Source organism: Homo sapiens, chromosome 3 (genome assembly GCF_000001405.40).
Source record: "Homo sapiens chromosome 3, GRCh38.p14 Primary Assembly".
NCBI classification, from domain to species: domain Eukaryota; kingdom Metazoa; phylum Chordata; class Mammalia; order Primates; family Hominidae; genus Homo; species Homo sapiens.
The window spans coordinates 156837202-156858582 of record NC_000003.12 but is presented as its reverse complement, the minus strand read 5'-3'; the positions used below and the strand labels follow the sequence as shown (position 1 = coordinate 156858582).

General features: G+C 35.4%; 1 protein-coding gene across 2 annotated transcripts in view; it reads right to left on the bottom strand.

Moving 5' to 3' along the window:
- Window positions 1-21381, bottom strand: part of LEKR1 (leucine, glutamate and lysine rich 1) — a 219777-nt gene that overhangs the window by 187547 nt on the left and 10849 nt on the right. For both annotated transcript variants that reach the window (NM_001004316.3, NM_001193283.2), the window contains exon 3: window positions 5601-5815. In NM_001004316.3, coding sequence (NP_001004316.2) covers window positions 5601-5815 — 215 coding nt within the window. The remainder of the gene's footprint in view (window positions 1-5600; window positions 5816-21381) is intronic.

Sequence of the window (21381 nt, the reverse complement as noted above, 5' to 3'; positions counted from 1 at the left end):
CCCACCTCAGCCTCCCAAGTGTCTGGGGTTACAGATGTCTTCCACCACACCCAGCTAATTTTTGTATTTTTAGTAGAGAACGGGGTTTCACCATGTTGGCCAGGCTGGTCTCAAACTCCTGACCTCAGGTGATCTGCCTGTCTCGGCCTCCCAAAGTGCTGGGATTACAAGCGTGAGCCACCGCGCCTGGCCTGATAAATATAAATTTTAAAAAGGAACATATTTGATTAATTTAAACAAAAATCTGGTTCTTTAAAAAGGCCAAAATAGACAAATTTGTTTATTTTCCTAGGAAAAAAAGCTCTCTCTCTCTCTGTCCTTCACTCTCTTTCTTGTCTCTTTCTCAATCAAACGCAAATAAACTACTCAAGGAAAGAGAAATGGAGTCATAACAGATACAGAGGAAAGCTTCTAAATAAGAGGATACTCTATAATACTAAACATCCAGAAATTTGAAATGCAAGTGAAATGCTTGATTTTCCAAGAAAACACTTCCAAAACTGACTCAAAAAGAGGTAAAAAATCCATAAGTAAACCAATAATTACAGAGGAAACATAATAGGTCATCAAAATTCAACCAACCCTCCCCCTACAAAATACATTTTTAATGAAGATCTACCAAATCTTCAAAGAACAAAAAATTCATGTGCTATTTAAGATGTCTGGTGCACACCAAAGCCAAAAGCCTTCTTAACTTATTAGAAAAGATAAGTATAACCTAGTCTGTATGCCACAAGAAAACTATAGGCCAACCTCACCTGTGAACACAGACGCAAATAGCTATGTAAAATATTAGCAGCATTATTTCAAAAGAACAATGCTCTTCATAAACTATTTCACATATCACCATTAGCATGGGCAATTTTGTTAGTGTTACAGAAACAAAACACTTTGATTTTAATAAAGAAATTATCCAAAATCCAAAACTTCTTGAGTGTCAACATAATTTTCAAAGGAAACATTCATTAGTGCATTTCACATTTTGGATTTTCAGATTAGATGCTCAACTGGTATGTATTTTGAAAATATTTCAAAATCCAAAACACTTCTGGACCAAAGTACTTTTATCCAATGCTTTTATCCAAAGATAAAAGTTACTCAACCTGTAGCTATATACTTATTTTTTAAATCTTCTATTTATGGCAAGTGATAAGTGTTTTTCCACTTACTATATGCATAGAAATACATATATTTAAGGGATAATTCACAGAAAAATAGAATAGTGCAGAGTACTTATAGCAGTGGCAAGAATCATGAAGAAGGCAAGCAAATACATGAGACTTTGGGAACCCTGAAATACGTAACATGATCAAAATGGCTTTCTATCAAAAATGTAAGTTTAGCTTCATATTAGAAAATCCATTAGTATGATTTACTATATTAACAGATTAAAGGAAAACAAATCATATGATCATCTCAATAGAAGATAGAAAAGCATTTATTAAAATTCAATAGTCATCTGATTTTAAATAAACTTAAAGAACTAGAAATAAAAGGAAGAATTCCTTAAATTGATAAAAGGTATCTTTAAGAAACCTATAGCAGATGTCCTTTTAAAAACAGAAACATACTAGGCAGGATTGCATTACATTAGAAATAAATATAAAGATGCATTCTACAAGTTTATTATTCAACACTGTTCTACAGGTCCAATCTAATTTAATAAGACAAGAAAAAGGAGGAAAAGGGTATAACTATTGGAAATAAAAAGATGACAGGCACTATTTGCATATGATGTGACTGTTTTACAGGTATGTGTGTGTTATAAACATATATAACAAATATTCAAGAAAATTAAAAAATTCAAACAACTAATAAAAGAATTCAATGAGGAAGCTAGCTACAGAAATAAATAGCATTCAAAAAAATGTAATAAAAAGACATCTTTCCCAAAAGCAACAAAAATATGTCCAAGGATTAAACTAATACACGATGTATTTAAAAATTATAAAATTGTATTGAAGGATTTAAAGAACATCTGAATAAATGGGGAATCCATGTTCCTGGATAAGAAGCCTTAAGATTATAAAGATGTCAATTATCGAGATAATATAACTGCTCTAGAAAGTAAATGCAATCCCAGTCTAAATCATAACACAGCATGTTTTATGGAATCGGAAAAGCTGATTCTAGAGTTCGTCCAGAAAAGAAAATATACTAAAAAGCCAGGGTAACCTGAAAGGCAAACCAAACACTTGTCCTACAAAATATCAAAAACATATTATAAAGCTAAAGTAGTTAAAAGTGTGGCCCTGACTCAATGATAGACAATAAATCAATAACACAAAACAGACCGTCCAGAAATACGCTAGAAGAAAAATTAATAGGTGGCATTTCAAGTCAAGGGAGAGAGGATGAAGAATTTAATAAGTGATATTGGGCCAACAGCCAGACATCTGAGAAACAACAAACATGAAATTGGAAATCTACCTCAAATTATATACAAAATTAATACTAAATAGATTAAAAAGCTAATTCTAATACTATAAGTTTTAAACATATGTTGTTGTTTCTACTTGCGTGAGTCTATTCCCTCTTCTTCTGATAACAGTACTCTAACTTCTCTTTAGTGAATACCTTTGCTTTCATTGTATGAAGTCTTCATAGACCTATCAATCAAGGTTCCCCCCTTCATCAGGCTAAGGGGGTGGAATTGGAGGGTGGTCACATAAAAGAAGTAAAGCCAGTGAGACTCTTCTGGGATTTGAATCTTGAAGGGAATGATGCAAGGAAAAAAAAGTTGAGTGAATTTACCCCAGATTTCCCAGATCCCTGAACAAGCTCTGTTTCTAGTCCATTTCCAAAGCCAGGGTTCTTGAGTTTTTCCTTTCTTTCAATGAGCTATCACCTCATACTCTTCCAATAAATTCTCTTTTGTGTTTAGGTTCGTGTCAGATAAGTTTCCATTGTTTGCAACTAAAAGAACTTGACACAAAACTCTTAACCAACCAGAACCTGGCACAGGATATTATTAAAATTTTTAAAAGATACAGCAAAAAAATACAATGAAGTGAAAGGACAAGCAACCATGAGAAAATATTAACAACATATATAAACACAGTATAATGCCAATATTATATTAAAAGCACCTACAAATAAACAAAAATAAGCAAATAACCCAATAACATGGTCAATATATGTGTATAGGTAATCAATATAAATGTCTAATACACAAACAAATGTTCAGCTTCATTGGCAAAAAACAAATACTAATTAAATAACCACGAGGTAACATTTTTCACTCAAGAGATTGAAAAAAATTAAGAAAAACCTAATATTAACAAAATGTAGGAAAGTGGTCACTTCATCAACTATTGGCCAAATGTAAGTTAATGCTAATTTCTCAAGGGACTACTTGGTATAATACCCATCAAAATTTTAAACTGGCATTTGCTTTCTTTCAGTAGTTCCACTTCTAGAAATTTATCCTTTGGAACAACATATGTTCACAAGAACATAAATACAAATACTACATGTAATAACAAAAATTGGAAATAATATAAATGTTGAAAAGAAAATTGATTAAGTAAATTATAGCATATTCTTGGTAACAAAAATGTTGGTGTAGTTAAGAACAAGGTAGATCTACATACATTAACATGGAACAATTTCCAATATATATAGTTAAGTGGCAAATGTCAGCAGCACAACAATATGTTTGATATACTGCTAATGTTAAAACTAGTCTATTAAAAGATAAAGATATAAACTACATATATTAAGAAAATAAGGCTGGGCACGTGGCTCATGCCTATAATCCCAGCACTTTGGGAGGCCAAGGCAGGCAGATTACTTGAGCCCAGGAGTTCGAGACCAACATAGGCAACATAGCAAAACAGCATCTCTAGAAAAAAAAAAACTACAAAATACAAAAATTAGCCAGGCATGGTGGTGTGCACCTGTGGTCCCAGCTACTCGGGAGGCTAAGGTGACAGGATAGCTTGAGTCCGGAAGGTCAAGGCTACAGTGAGCCGTGTATAGTGCCATTTCACACCAGCCTGGGCAACAGAGAAAGACCCTGTCTCAAAAAAAAAAAAGGAAAGAAAGAAAAGAGAAAAGAAAATACATTTGTAATAAAGGTAAAGGTACAATAAAGGATCTACCAAGACATACACCAAATCATTAAAAGTGATTTTTGGCTGGGCACAGTGGCTCACGCCTATAATGCCAACAGTTTGGGAGGCCCAGGTGGGCAGATCACCTGAGGTTAGGAGTTTGAGACCAGCCTGGCCAACATGGTGAAACCCTGTCTCTACTAAAAATATCAAAAAATTAGCCGTGCATGGTGGTGTGTAGCTGTAATCCCAGCTACTTGTGAGGCTGACGCAGGAAAATTGCTTGAACCTGGAAGGCAGAGGCTGCAGTGAGCTGAGATCACGACACTGCACTCCAGCCTTGGTGACAGAGCAAGACTCTGTCACAAAAAAAAAAAAAAAAAAAAAAAAGTGATTTTTACCTCCAGTAAGAATACAATCAGTACAATCAGCAGGGTACCAGTAAGAATACAATCAGTACAATCAGCTGGGTACCAGTAATAGTATAATCAGCAGGGTACAAAGACTTTCTTGCCTTATTATTTATTCTCTATACTTCTTTTACTTCATGTGTTTATGTCTTACATGTATAATACATTTTATTAAAGAAAGTAAGGTGTGAATACACCAAACAAAAGAATCCCTGACAGGTAAAACCCCTCCAAATTAAAAATTGTAAATAATACTTCAAATTTTTAAGCTTTTCCATGAAAATATCATAAAATACTTTATTATTCAGATGTGAAATTAAATAAACTATAACAACTTTTTTTTGGTAAAAAACTAAGAAATATCTGGCTCAACTGGCATTTAATACAATTATATATTTTTATATAAAATTCTGTAACAAAATTTAATAAAAGTATTTAATCCAAAGAGACTTAAGCAAGTTTCCACTACACAGACATGTTATTCATTAAATTTATTCATTAAATTCATTAACTCAAGGTCTCTTAACATCAACTGTCAATACTTTAAATCAAGAAATTTTCATTCATAGGAAAAACTATAAAACACCAGCAAAAACTCTCCTGTGTAGGCTCACTGAAGTGTCTTTAGGCAGGCTAGATTGCTGATTAGATTCTACAAAATTAGAAACCCATTCTTTAATTTATTTCCAATTCCAATAATTTAAAATCACACACTAATTTGAACGTCTTGGCATCTTTTTCAAAACATGAAAGCCTTATTCTACAAATCTAAAAATCCAAAGCCATTTAAAAATAAATGTATGAAAAACTACCAAAATTAATCTGATTTTTGATAGATAAATTTTCCTAATAATAAAACGTAAGATATATATACCTGGGAAAAAAATTTGAATGTCTCAGCTGGTGGTTACTAAATTAATTGGTTTCTAATTTTTCAGATAGTAAATATATGCCTCAAAAGAAAGCAAACTATAATAATTATATTTAGTAATTATTAATATAATTAAGAAACAAATGCATTAAAGTATAAACTATACCTGATGTAGAGAAATTTTAGAAAAACATTCAAAGTGTATTTATTTCCTGTAGCTGTCTTTCAACTAAATAAATGATAGAAAAGAAAAACATACTCAACCTTTCTGTTTTGGATTTGTTGTCAATTTTGTACTGTTCAAGTTCTTGGCTAAGAGAATGCAGCTTTTCTTGAAGTCTCTTTTCACGATCTACACTTCCTTGATAAAATTTCATCTCTTTTTCCATTGCTTTCACTTTTTCTTCCATAGCCTTAAATTCATGAAGAATTAGATAGCTGACTCCACAGTACTTACAAACTTTTTCTTCAGGCAACATCTAGGAAACAGAACATACACTTACCAAATTTTTTTAATTCTGAAAAAACAAGTTCAACTGAAGATATTGTAGCCATGCTGGTTGAATGAAGTAAATACATAGTATACTATGCCTTGGAGCAATAATTACGACATTGCTAACACTTGTATAAAAAATTTTAAACTGGCATATTGAGTCTGACACAAAATCTTGGGATTAGAAAAAGATCTTTCAGAGCAATTGTTTCTCCATGGTATCTCTAAGAAAAATTTACTCTTGAAATATTTTCCATAAAATAAAACCAAAAATAGTGAAAAATTTATAATCTTTATAATTCCGGTTTTAAGATGAATTTTCCACGAAGTGGGAGGAAATCACTGTTCTTTAATTGCAAACTGCTCTGTTCTCCTGGCTTTTTCAGATCTTATTTTCCTCATCTGTAAAATTATGACATTTCACCAAATGAATTCTGTTTCTGTTCAGTTTCAGCATTTTATGATTTTTACAGAAATTTAACATTCTGTCATAAATCTACAAATAGGAAAAATACTTTGAACCTAATCTCTTCTCCCCAAATCAGTTCTTAGTAGGTACGGTTATACCCATTTTACAGACTTTTTTTAAAAAACTGAGACTACTGAAGTTAAATAACCAGCTGATATGCGGAGAAGCTGGGATTAAAACTCAGGTCTATTTAAAACCAGCACCTGTGCCTTTAACCATCTGTATTATATTTATCTATCACATGTATATTGGATAGATCCTCTTCCTTCCTTCAGATAAAGTGTTGTGTGACTTTTGGCCAGCATAGGGCCAGTGAAAAATGAAATTTTAGCCAAGTCAGAAGGGAGATAGTTCTTTTTTCTGTTTCAGGTATAAATATTTCTCAGTAGCCTCTGCTTGTTTTCCTATTCATAAAGGATAAGAGATGGCTTCATAAAATGCTTGCTCCAGGGCACTAAATTTGAAATTAACTCTTGGATTATCCAAGATTTACTCTTAAAGTAACCTCCCTTGAAACTATAGAAACTGTTGCTGTAACTAATAGTAATGCCACCATATCTGCCTACCAATGTCATTACACAAATGTCAACTGGAAGAAAAAAAAACACATTTTTATAAAGTAAAATTTGGCTCCTTTAAACTTTAATAGTAAAAATTTTAAATTAAAAACCATAATACAGTATTATGGGATATAGATTAATGATTATATCAACTACTTGCCACTATATAAAATGTATAGATTTATAAAAGTAATCATAAAGATAATCTGGTTCAAGCTCTAGATGGATTCAATTCCATTAATCTACTTCAACTTAAATATGTTGTTGCCTATCCTTTATTTTAACATCCCAAATGATGGGAAACTACTTTTTAAAGCATTCTGTTCCATCTTCTGCCAGTTGTGTCTCTCAGGAAATCCTTTCTTAGGCTCATCACAAATCCGCCTCCCTGAAGTGTGCACCAGTTCCAGTCCTCTTAGAAACCATGTGGGACATCCCCAGGCCCCTTTCACATGAAGGTCTTTCTAATATTTGAAGACAGCTATCAGGAACACTCCATGTCTTCTCTTCTCTAGGTCAACACTTACAATTTCTTCAGCTGAATTTCTTCCTCATTCTAGATTTCTCTAAATTTTTTCCAGTGTTCTACATGTGTTTCAAAGTATGGTGCCCAGATGCAATAGTTTAGTGTGGCTGGTCTCACTAAAACAGAATGAGAGAAGACTCAAACTTCTCTCATTCTAATATCTCATTACTAATATCATTGTAATACGTTCTAATGCAACCTTAGATCTGATTGGTCTTTAATATTTTTAGCAATTATATTTTGCTTTTATATACTATAACTGGCTTTATGTTAAATAAAACCCCTGATTTTAAAAATACTGCAGTGCAAACCAACGTCTCATTATACTGAATATACCAATTATTTCCTTTCTATCTATGTTTCCATTTTAGAGAATCCATAGCAGCCCTGGCTGCTATGTTTGGCAATGTGACTAAGACTCCCTCCACCTATCTACCCTAGCCATGGCTGACTGGTGAACCAGGATTGGACATCAGACCCAGAAGAACCAAGCCCAAGCTGGTATGAGCCAACTGGGCCTGTAATTGTTGAAGATTCAGGCACTTAGGTCACCTTTGGCACAGCCATAAGACAGAAAATGTCATGCACAAGATACAAAGTAACTAACATAACTAAAATTCTGAGACATGAATGAGTAGACACAGAGACAGAAGCTGAGATGAGGACACTGTAGCTCCAGAAAGAGAGAGAAAATAAGGAACCAGCCACTGTCTTATACCCCAAACTCTTCCAGTTCCTCACTTCAGACCCTCTTGAGTTGTGGCTTCCCTACTTGCCATTTGGAATTCATGCCCAATCTTCCTCTACTATTTTCTCTTTTCTCCCTTAAGCTCCATATTCCTTGCGACCAATACTTTCCATTCTATTATGTGAGCATTTGGCTTTTCAGATCCAAGTACAGAACTACAGATGTAAATGTAAATATATACAAATATATAAAATATATAAAAATATATATCTTATATTATCTTAGACTCACATATATTTGAGTATATAACATAGATATTTGCATTTCTCTGATGGCCAGTGATGATGAGCATTTTTTCACGTGTTTTTTTGGCTGCATAAATGTCTTCTTTTGAGAAGCATCTGTTCATATCCTTCGCCCACTTTTTGATGGGATTGTTTGTTTTTTTCTTGTAAATTTGTCTGAGTTCATTGTAGATTCTGGATATTAGCCCTTTGTCAGATGAGTAGGTTGCAAAAATTTTCTCCCATTGTGTAGGTTGCCTGTTCACTCTGATGGTGGTTTCTTTTGCTGTGCAGAAGATCTTTAGTTTAATTAGATCCCATTTGTCAATTTTGTCTTTTGTTGCCATTGCTTTTGGTGTTTTAGACATGAAGTCCTTGCCCATGCCTATGTCCTGAATGGTATTGCCTAGGTTTTCTTCTAGGGTTTTTATGGTTTTAGGTCTAACATGTAAGTCTTTAATCCATCTTGAATTAATTTTTGTATAAGGTGCAAGGAAGGGATCCAGTTTCAGCTTTCTACATATGGCTGGCCAGTTTTCCCAGCATCATTTATTAAATAGGGAATCCTTTCCCCATTTCTTGTTTTTGTCAGGTTTGTCAAAGATCAGATAGTTGTAGATATGTGGCATTATTTCTGAGGGCTCTGTTCTGTTCCACTGGTCTATATCTCTGTTTTGGTACCAGTACCATGCTGTTTTGGTTACTGTAGCCTTGTAGTATAGTTTGAAGTCAGGTAGCGTGATGCCTCCAGCTTTGTTCTTTTGGCTTAGGGTTGACTTGGCAATGTGGGCTCTTTTTTGGTTCCATATGAACTTTAAAGTAGTTTTTTCCAATTCTGTGAAGAAAGTCATTAGTAGCTTGATGGGGATGGCATTGAATCTATAAATTACCTTGGGCAATATGGCCATTTTCATGATATTGATTCTTCCTACCCATGAGCATGAAATGTTCTTCCATTTGTTTCTATCCTCTTTTATTTCATTGAGAAGTGATTTGTAGTTCTCCTTGAAGAGGTCCTTCACATCCCTTGTAAGTTGGATTCCTAGGTATTTTATTCTCTTTGAAGCAATTGTGAATGGGAGTTCACTCATGATTTGGCTCTCTGTTTGTCTGTTATTGGTGTATAAGAATGCTTGTGATTTTTGCACATTGATTTTGTATCCTGAGACTTTGCTGAAGTTGCTTATCAGGTTAAGGAGATTTTGGGCTGAGACAATGGGGTTTTCTAGATATACAATCATGTCATCTGCAAACAGGGACAATTTGACTTCCTCTTTTCCTAACTGAATGCACATGTACCCTAAAACTTAAAGTATAATAATAAAAAATGAATAAAATAACATAGATATATATGTCTTAGACATAGTTATTGCCTTTGGTTATTACCTTAGTTACTGCCACTGGTATCCAGGAAATTCTAAGCTTTATGTCTTTTGCAAAGTTGATCCTTATAAGTCATTTTATGTATCTCACTCTCTGATTTTAAAATGCTGAATTGACTAAGTTGAGGACAGAACTCCACAGCATGTCATATCACATTGGTTGATACTGTTCTATTATTCAGCATATTTCAGGTACAACTCTTAATCTGATCATTAAATTATCCAATTATCTTTGTTACCAGCCTATATTTATTTTATACTGTCTTCAGGAATATTATGACAAACTTTGTCAAATGTTTTCATAAAGTCCATATATTCTATGCCTAATATGGTTCCTGGATCTAGTAATCCTACATAAAATGAAATGGCAAAGCCTACATGCTTGCTCTCAGTGAACATAAAATTGGCCCAAGGGTTATGTTTTGTCTAATATATCCTCACAAATCACCCTTTCATAATATATTCTAAATCTTGTCTAGGATTGAAATTAAGTTCATTGGTTGTAATTTATGGGCACTGTATACATGAAATGGCATTTGTGCATTATCCTATTACTCTCTGCATGTCTTCAGACATAACCAAGAGTGGCTCTGCAATCCTATGCAAAGACACTATCAGCCCTCAGAAATATAATTCATCCATGTCAATAAATCTGAACTAATTAGGAACAGATGGATATTTTCTTAAAATTTTTGCCCATCTTGCATTTTAGTTTCTTCTTCTCAATTTGAAAATTGTTGCTTACTGTAAGTCACTTTCATCATTAATCCTTGCCTATTAATTGCAGTTCTTGCCCTGCTCCTGGCAAAGTGTCCTATCTTTATTCTAAAGAAAACTCTTGATGGGTGGAGTAGATTTGCAGCCTGATGAATAAAACAGAAATGCTATAAACTTCACATTGTGAAAGCTATTAGAATGTTATTTCATCATAGCAGTCAAGGGAGAAAAGGCTGAAATGTATTTTATGTGAAGCAATACATTTTAGAGAATAGGTTTTCTAGAAGTTCAGCAAGGAAAGAGAAAACATGATATTCATTATGATGTAGAAAACAAGACAATGTGATTTTAAAATAATAGGTCCACAAGAGTGGTCTTCTGACTTTACCTGAATCATTAAGTAAGCAATGTTAAATAAATACATTGCACAAAAGTTTTCAATGCTATTAAATTGTAAATAATGTTCTGTAACCAAAACTGCTATAGAAAAAAATGTAATAACCCTTTCAAATTATTAGTGCCTATATGAGCTAATTACTTAGGGCATTTTTGTGAAACTTGAGAAGATATGAAATACTGTAATTATGTTCCCAAATGAAGTAAGTTATCTGCTTTTTGTGAAATATAATTTGTGCTTCATTCTTATAACTTGGTATTATATCATCCTCTCGTTTTGAAAGTAAAATAATGACATGCTGTCATTCTTGACAAAAGGCCTATCATTAACAGGATGTTCTGGTGTTCTACAAGATGCACTTTGGAGGAGACATTAACAAATGCAATATATTAAACAAATGTAGAACCATTTGAAAATAAACTATGAAACAAACTTCTCAAATGCAGTGTTCATACTTTTAAAATTATAGTTATTTAATATAAAAATAATGTAAATGTTTTAAAAAGGTTAAATTAGGCTTCAGATCCTTTCCAGAGTTCCTGTCTGTGCTTCAACTAGGAAAACTACTTAGTACCTTCCTGCTGCCCAACTGTGGCATTCTCTATTTCAAAATTGTGCCTCTTGGCCAAGCATGGTAGCTTACACCTGTGATCCCAGCGCTTTGGGAGGCCGAGGTAGGTGGATTGCTTGAGCCCAGGATGAGCCTGGACAACACGGTGAGACCTTATTTCTACAAAAAATTTTTTAAAAATTAGCCAGGCGTGGTGGTGTGCGCCTGCAGTCCCAGCTACTTGGGAGGCTGAGGTGGGAGGGTTGCTTGAGCCCAGGAGGCAGAGGCTGCAGTGAGCTGAGATGGTGCTGCTGCACTCCAGCCTGGGCAACAGAGCAAGACCTTGTTTCAAATAAATAAATACATACATACATACATACATATAATTGTGCCTCCTTCTCCCACCCATATGATGCTTTTTGTGCTTAGACAAGGAGGAAATAAACTATTCTTTGTAGATAAGAGTGATAGCAGTATGAAATACTAATCCTTCTAAGAGGTTTTCCATTCAGTAAGATGCCCTTACTCAAAAACAATGAGTGTTTAGTAAATATCATTCAGATTAGGAGAAAGTTTTTGAGATAGGGCAATATATACTTCAAGCTCATTAGTCAAACAGACCACCTGACTACTTCATAAAGCCATTAGGACCCTTCCTCATCATTAAGTTAACCTGCTTATTTACAAATTTAAAAATCAATTTAGTAAAGGGCACTTACAAAAAAAAAAACCCTACAGCTTTATTATAATTAGTAGTAAAAGACTCAGTGTTTTTCCCCCTAAGGTTGGGAAAATGGCAAGGATATCCACCCTCACTGCACTTATTCAATATAGTGCTAGAATATCTAGCCAGAGCAACAATGCAAGAAGGGGAAATAAAAGGCATACATATTAGAAGGAAAAAATAAAACTCTCCTTAATTGAGATGGCATAATTATCTACATAGAAAATCCCAAGAAATCGACAATAAAACTAGAACTAGTAAGTTCAGCAAGGTTGCATGTTTCAAGATACAAACAGAACAATCAACTGCATTTATATATATACCCAGTGAGCACCTGAACACTGAAATTGAAAATACAATACATACATATATATATATTTACAACTGCTCCAAAAAATTAAATACTCAGGTGTAGATATAACAAAATATGTACAAGATTCGTATGCTGAAAACTACAAAATGCTGATGAAATATATTGAAGATCTAAATAAACGGAGAGAGATACTATGTTTATGTTTGGAAGACTCAAAATAGTAAAGATATCAATTCTCCCTAAATTGGTATAATCCAATTTCTATCAAAATCTCAGCAAGATATTTTATATATAGAAAGAGTTATTCTCAAATTTGTATGTAAAGCCAAAGGAATTAGAATAGCTAAAATAATGCTGAAAAAGAAGAATAAAGTGGGGGGAATCACTACCTGATTTCAAGACACACTGTATTGCTATAGTAATCAAGATTGTATGATATTGGCAGAAGGAAGGACACATAGATCAATGGAACAGAACAGAAAACGACCTCCATAAATATGCCAAACTGATTTTTGACAAAGGTACAAAAGCAGTTCAATGAAAGAAAGATAGCCTTTTCAACAAATGGTGCTGGTACAATTGGATATCCATACATTTTTTTTTTTAAAAAAGGAACCTCAACCTAAACCTCACATATTCTACAAGTAGGGACAAAAATATAAAATATAAAAGTAGAAAATATTAGAAGAAATATTTTTAGGAAAATAATAGGAGAAAATCTTCAGGATCTAAACTGGAAAAGACCTCATATTTAATACCAAAAGCATGATTCATAAATGGAAAATCTGATAACCTGAATTTCATCAAATTTAAAAACTTCTGATCTGTAAAAGACCTTGCAAAGAGGATTAAAAGACAAGCTACAGACCAGGAGAAAATATTTGAAAACCACGTATCTTACTAGTACCTAGATTATATAAAGAATTTCCAAAATTCAGCAGAAAAAAAAAGTCTAATTAGAAAATGAACAAAAAGACTTGAAGAGACCTTTCACATAAGAGGATATTCAGATGCCAAATAAGCACATGAAAAGATATTCAACATCATTTCATTAGCCATTAGGAAAATGCAAATTAAAACCACAATGAGATATCACTCACTACACATCACTGACAACATCAAATGCTGGTAAAGATGTGGAGAAACTGGATCACTCATATACTGCAGGTAAAAAATGTAAAATGGTATACCCACTCTGGAAAACAGTTTAGTAGTGTCTTTAAAAAAAAAAAAAAAACCTGTAGTTACTATATAACATAGCAATTGAACTCTTGGCCATTTATCCCAGGAAAATGAAAATGTATGTTCACATAAATGAATGTTTATAGCAGCTTTATATGTAAAGCAGCTGAAAAGTGGAAAAAAACCTAGATTCCCTTCAATGAGTAGGTAAATGGTTAAACAAACTGGTACATTCATACCATGGAATACTACTCAGCAATAAAAAGGAATAAACTATTGATACACACAACCTAATGAAACTCCAGAAAATTACAGATTGAAAAAAGCTAATCCCAAAATATTACACACTACATGATTCCATTTATATAACATTCCTGACATAAAATTATTGGAGACCAGACCAATGGTTGCCAGGGCCATGGACTGGGAGTAGGGAAGAGATTGGGGAAGTTAAGGTGAATGTGGTGATAAAAGGACAACATGAAAAATCCTTGTTGTGATGAAAGTGTTCTGTATCTTGACTGTATCAATTGTCAATATCCTGGTTATGACACTGTACTTTAGTTTTGCCAGATGTTACCACTGCAGGAAGCTAGATGACGAATAAGTGGGATTTCTTGGTGTTATTTCTTACCTTGCATGTGAATCTACAATTATCTCAAAATAAGAAGTTTAATTTTAAAATAATAAAAATAGAAAAAAATCAATCTGGGACTAAAATACCAGAGATTCATCCATAAAGACATGTTATTGAGCAATATCAGAAATGTTGGCTTTACCCTATGTAAATTATAAATGATATGCCTATGTCTATCTATATATACTTCCAAAGTATATTTCCTCCAATACCTATTTTTCCACTGGGAATCCTCACCTTAGTAAACTCAATGACCTTCTATGGTCAGTTGGCAAAAGTATTTTTGACTACAAATTGGCAAATTCAGATTTTTCAAGATTCATAATAATATTTTGAAGAAAATGCTTTTTCTAATGAACTACCTTGGGTCACAAAAATAAGTGAATAGTCTCTCCAAAAATTATACAGCTTCCTATTCCCTTTGTCATAAGGTTTTAATAAAACTACAATTGCTTAAAAACACATCACACATAAACGTCCACACACACACACACACACATCACAACTTTCCCAGGATGCTAGGTCTAACATTTGTATGACCACTTTCTTTTTCCTTTTCTTCCACTTCAACTCAACAAAAAATCTGAACCTAGCCACAGTGGCCCAAAATAACCTGGAAATTAAGTTTATTTTTTCTGGCAATGACCATCTGTGCTTGGAAATATAAAACTGTTATTCTGGATAAATTTCAAAGTTCCAAAGTACTAAAATTACTTTACTGAAACAGGACAAAATGAGCTGTTACTGCTGGGGAAAGGGATTGTTATCCCTGAGAGAACAGTGCGCTCTCTAGCCCTTGTATCGCTACTTCTGTTTTGCAAAATAAACAACTCTGGTCTCTTTTTTTTTACTTTTGTGTCCTGTGGTAATAAAGATTTCCTGAAGTTAAAATCCTATTACAAGTGTTCATTTTGTCACCATTTTAAAAAAACAAAAGATCAGTTCCACTTTCTGCAAACTAACTGATTTTTCCACTAGTTTGTTGCTGTTGTTTTGATTTCCACATATGTCCCCAAGCAAAAACAGCAAAAGGAAAATTATTCATTGCTCTTTTCTAAAAAGAGGAGTCCATATGTCTCTAAAATGGATTGACATTCATGAGGGGAAGAGATATACAATTACAGTATTACTTTGCTGATCTGTAAGTGTTGTTTTAGTCTTAAATTGTGGCAATAAAATCCTAAACCCAGAACAGTACTATAATTTCAAGTATATTCTGCTTTCAGAATACTTGATGAAAATGCTAGTAAGTCTGCTGGTTATCCGAGGTCAGGGACAGGTAGGAGTCAGCTCAGCCTGGAGAGAGAACAGATTTAGAGATATGATCTAAATACATACAGAATTAACCTGTAGAGTGCAGCAGTAGAAAAAGGAGCCAAATGTGATTTTGCTGTCTAGCCCATGGGCCGCTTTTACATTTTCTGCCACTTAAGAAGATGGAAGTCTGACAAGTATACTATGCTCAGTCAGAAACTGTGATAAAAAAGGAAAAAGACCTGGACATGAGAGTCAAAGATTATCTTATTCCTTCTTCCCTAAAATTCCCTGAGGAGATGAGACCAGGGGAAAATGCTTTAACAATCTTAGCCTTCTAATCAGGCAATGGATTCTCTAACTGTAGCTTTTTATCATCATAGTTCTTCTCTACACTTTTTCTTTGGTAGCCATCTCCCCTACCACCTTTACATTTTTTGTAACTCTCCTTTTTCTACTACTGCTCATTTTGGCATTAATAGTACAGTGTGGCATAGTCATTTTCAAATTCTAATTTACCAGCCATCTGTTTCCATATCACATAGCAAAAATACACAAAGAAATAAATAGGAAAGGCTCTCACCTTCTCTTCCCTGATTTCTACACTCACCTTCCTTGCCTACACACAGAAAAAAAAGGAAACAGCAGGGACTTCTCTAGAAAGAGAAGCCAGCATAAAAAGTAACATAAAAAGTTAACAGAACAAGAAAGAAAAAAAAAAGCCTTTGAAAGACCTGTCACTGCACACTGATCCACACATCTCAGGTCCTTTTTTCTTCAATAGAGAAATAGAGCCATTTCCAAGCTATTATGAAAAAAAGTCTTTGTTTCTTCACATTAAAATGAAATGGTTCTAATCTAAATGGCTCCTGTTACCACTATAAGCTATATATCTAATCAGCAGTCCCCAATTTTTTTGGCACCAGAGACTGATTTTGTGGAAGACAATTTTCCCATGGACTGGGGGGATGGGGATGATTTTGGGATGAAATTGTTCCACCTCGGATCATCAGGCATTAGTTAGATTCTCATAAGCAGCACACAACCTAGAACCCTTGCATGTGCAGTTCCTGCTCCTATGAGAATCTAATGCTGCTGCTGATCTGACAGGAGGCAGAGCTCAGACGGTAATGCTCACTGGCTTGCCACTCACCTCGGGCTGTGTGAGTGGTACTAGTCAGCGGCCAGGGGTTTGGGGACCCCGATCTCTCTCTCTAATATTATTCTGTATAGAATAACACACGCAGCTGATTAAATACACTGCCCAGTCACTAGGAAATTAAGTGAAATTACAGACAATCTAGATAAATCAAATATAGGTAAGAAGTTATGTAACACATTTATTCTAAAAGACGGTACTGTCATAGGCTTTGGGATGTATATACATATTCTGGCTACTTTAAAATCAAGCACCCCAAACAGGGACTGGCACATAATAGGCATAATAAATACTTGTTGTATAAATGCATCTAACTTAGGTCTGAAAAAGTGCAAAGCTGCACTTTATATGACCAAGTCTACGACTAGCACACTTGTCTAGGACCTTAGGCAGCTGAGCCTCTTTTGGTGTCCCCACTTCTCTGTACTGCCTGGATGGCTGCCTGCCATTCTTGCTTTAGACTCTTATCTGCAGATTTATGAAATGCTTGGTTTTAGTATTTTTTAAACAATTTACTTGTAAAGTATCTCAAACATGAGAGAAAACCCTCTATAACTCTCATAAAAACCTTATAAAAATAAATACATATTTTATATTTTCAAAACACTGAAGTTGTTAAACATTCTCTAACTTGGCCAGCTTTTCTCACCAGAAAGCTTCTGTTCCTTTGGCCTAGGATGCCTTACCCGCTGCCTGTGGAAATACTAGGCCTTCAAGAGGCAACTCCAGTTTCACCACCAGCATAAAGTTCCCCCTCTGGCCATCCCACCATGCAGGGATTCCTCTTTCTGCCTTCTTCATTCTCACAGCAGATACTATCTTACATGGCACTAAATCACACACTGTCTTCTAGAGCTATTTTTTATCATGTCATTGTACATCCTCTGCCTGAGAGGTGATTAGGGTCTGAAGTGCAGCTATTGATTCGTGTAGATTTTGTTTGCTTTGCTTTGTTTCTTTTATTTTCCACCATACCTAGGCTAGTACAAGAAAGGGACTTAGTTCAGGGCAAGAGGAAGGATATTTCATGTCTTCAAATATATATAAGCACCATTTCTCAGGTGAGTACAAGTATAGCTGAACCCTCTCTGTGCTTACTCTTTTACACCTAACTTAAAAGGTGAAGATAATTGAATGTAATGATTTAAAAGGTCTTTTATGGTAAATGTAAATGGACTTCTCTTCCTGTTCCTGCTGGGTTACAGTTTACATAAATCTGAAGGGCAGGCAGCAACAGTAAGCATCAAGTTAAATCGATGGCATGGTTAATGCTAACAGGCAGCCCAAAGGTACATGCACAATGGACAAAAGCATATCTGAGAGCTGACTGCAAATTTTAATCAAAATGTAACAGATTAGTTGTTAATTAAGAGTTAACTAGATTTACTGAAAAACCCGAAAGATTGATGATAAAGTTTGAGGTTATAACTCACAATTTAAGTCAATCTTTTTCAAAGAGATTTTTAAAAATATACTATTAACAATGTATGGATTGCAAGCTAAATATGGGGAAAATGCCTTGTCCTGGGTACAGATGTGAACTAACAGGGAAGAGAACAGCATAAAAACTAAAGAACTGCGTGTTAATTAGATTAAATGAGTTGATATATAGTTGACCTTTGAACAACATGGACATTAGGGGTGCGAACCTCCCCTCCACATAGTTGAAAATCCATGTACAACTTCTGACTCCCCAAAAACTTAACTACTAATAGCCTACTGTTGACAGGAAGCCTTGCTGATAATATAAACATTCAATTAATGCATATTTTATAAAGTAAGCTAGAGAAAAGAAAATGTTAAGAAAATCATCATAAGAAAGAGGAAATATATTTAATCTTCATTAAGTGGATCATCAAAAATGTCTTCATCCTCATGTTCACATTGAGCAGGCTGAGGAGGAAGAGGAAGAGGAGGGGTTGGTGTTGCTGTCTCAGGGATGACACAGGTGGAGAAAGTGGAAGGGGAGGCAAAAAAGACAGGCACGCTTGGAGTAACTTTGAGGAAATATGTCATAACTTCTGTCGAACTTTTTTGCTTTTTCATTTCTCTAAAAATGTTTCTATATAGTGCCAATCCTTCTTCCAACGTTTGCTTTAGTTTCAGCGCCCATATCATAGGAAGGTTCATGTTGTAAAAGAAGTGAGAAGCAGTCTCGAATAATTGAAACCCTTCTGCCATATTATCTAGCATCAATTTGTTTTCTAGCACTGCCTCTACTATGTCTTCTTTCTCATTGTCTGCACTGATTCAGAAAAAAAAATCATCTCCAAGTTGTCCTCTGCTAATTCCTCTTGTGTGATGTCTGTTAGCTCCTGAATTTCTCCAAGATTAGTATCTTGAAACCCTTCACCCTCTGACCTTTTTTGCCATATCCACAATCTCTTTTATAATTTCCTTTATTGGCTCCATTGTAAATCCTTTGAAGTCATGCACAACGTCTGGACAGTTTTCTCTAGAAGGAATTTCTTGTTCCAGGCCTGATGACTTTCACAGCTTTTTCTATAAGAATGATGGCATCTTCAATGGTGTAATCTTTCAAGGTTTTGGTAATGTTCTGTCAGGGTTCTCTTCCATAGCATTGACAGTCCTTTCCATAGACTACTGTTGAGGTACTTCCTGACTTCAGAGACAAAGCATTGATGGACTCAGTCTAGAAAAAGCAATCTCCTTGTCCAAGCCTTTGTGTTGTACAACCAAAAGACTAACACCTGATGTTTATCTTTTCCCATCAAGGCTAGAGATTAGCAGTTTTATAGATAAGGGCAGTCCTGATCATAAACCTGACTACATTTGCACAAAACAACAGATTTGGCCTATCCCTTCCTTCCTTAAATCCTGGTGCTCACGTCTCCTCCTTACTAATGCATTTTGTGTCCTTTTTTTTTCCAGAATAGGGCACTTTTGTTTGTGTTAAAAACCTGTTTAGGAGATTGATTTGAGTAATAACTCCATCTCCTCTGTGGCATGGCCATCCTCGTTTCCATTAAACTCTTTCTCTACTGCAATGGCTTGGTCTCAGTGGCTTGATTTCATCTGTGTGGGAGGAAGAACCCATCGGGCTATTATAAGTTTGGGGGTCTGTCTGGGATCTGCCTTTGTGGGTGCCTGCCTGCAGTTTGTCAGCCCCCCACCAGTATGTTGGAATTGGAGGTGAGCTCTGGCAGCTGCTTATTTCTCTGGAACTGAAGGCCATGTCTGGTGCTGTCCTTGCCCAGTGAGGCCCTGCTGACCCACAGTGCTTGGGCCTAATTGCAGTGGAGAAAGACATCCTTCCTAGAAAGACATCTTTAAACTGGTCTGCTGAGTATTCTAAGCACGGTCAGAACCTTCTTCCTTCTCCCAGTTGGTTTGGCTCCACTGGGGTTCTTGGTTCTGCTCCTTCAAGTGTCTTGGTTTGGCTCCTTTGGGGGTATTAGCTGGCTCTCCCAAAATAGTAGGAAGACTCTGGGTTTGGGGAGATGTCTCCCCAGTTAGAGAATAAGAGGTTAGTTCAGAAGAATTACTCCTGGAAATTTTTGGTTAGGAATCCTGGTTTGGAAGGCCTTTTTGTTTGTCTTTATCTCATTGTGCGTATTTGTATATATGGAGAGAATTCCCTGAAAGAATTGCTGATGAAAGCCCAGGAGACTGTACTAGTTTGTCTGGTTGGTCACATTCTGTGAGCCATGAACAAAGTTCAACAGGTCTAACTCAGGGTGACTATCCACTCTTCCATGTTGCTTAAAGATCACCTGTTGAAACTCCTGGTTGGAGAACACCCCACCCCACTTTGAGTGGATCAAAGACAACACGGGCCAACAGAGGCAAGTTTAAGCCTTGCCAGGTCAATACTTGGATGCTAAGCGGGGTGACTGGTGTCTGTGTTTTGTCATGTGTATTTTCCTCTGCCTGGAATAAAAAACGTCATTTTGGATCCCCCATGTAGCCTGGCTACATCTTGCAAAATGAGGTTTTTGACTATGATTCCATGAAACAGAAAGAGATGATTTTCTTTTGTAATGCAGCATGGCCCCCACAGCTATGGTACAGCAAGCAGCATCACCAAAGCTGCTGAGAGATAAGGAACCTGGAAAGCTAGCATGCCGGCAAAAGGGTAAGAATTTCCTACCAGCCAGGCTTCTGGCCCCTTTCTGCGCAAACTGATGGTAAAAATCACTGTCTCCTTTGCAAAGTCTGATTAATGGGAAAAAGGATTTGTGTGATTAGTCTGAGGCTGTAGCAAATCTAGTGCACTTTGTGCTATGAATATTCACATTGTTTCACTCCTTTCCTCTCAGTTTTTATCTTTATGTGTCTTCTGTCATGGAGAGGGGCACCGTAGGATAGAACAAGGGCCTAGGATCCCTATAAGCCCAATGCTCAAGCTGGCCCTGTGGGCTGGTCAGTTACAAACTTTGCTGCACGTCCCTGAAACAAAAACTGGACGAGATTTCCTTCTCATCTTGTTTTACGTCCTTGGGAGCTTGACTCTGTTGACCATGTGGAGGTACACTCTCAGTCTCCACCATCCAAAGGGCAGGAATTTTTCAGTTCATGTCAGTATGAGAGGACCGGGTGTCTGAGATGAGTCAGCACACTCTTCATCCCAAATGTGTCATGCCTTTGGGTGAGTCTTGTCTTAAAAGATCCCATTTCTACAGGGCTCTTGTCATCTTTTGTTATCTTAAGCCCATTACAGAGAGTGAATTCTTGGGGACGATGGAGATA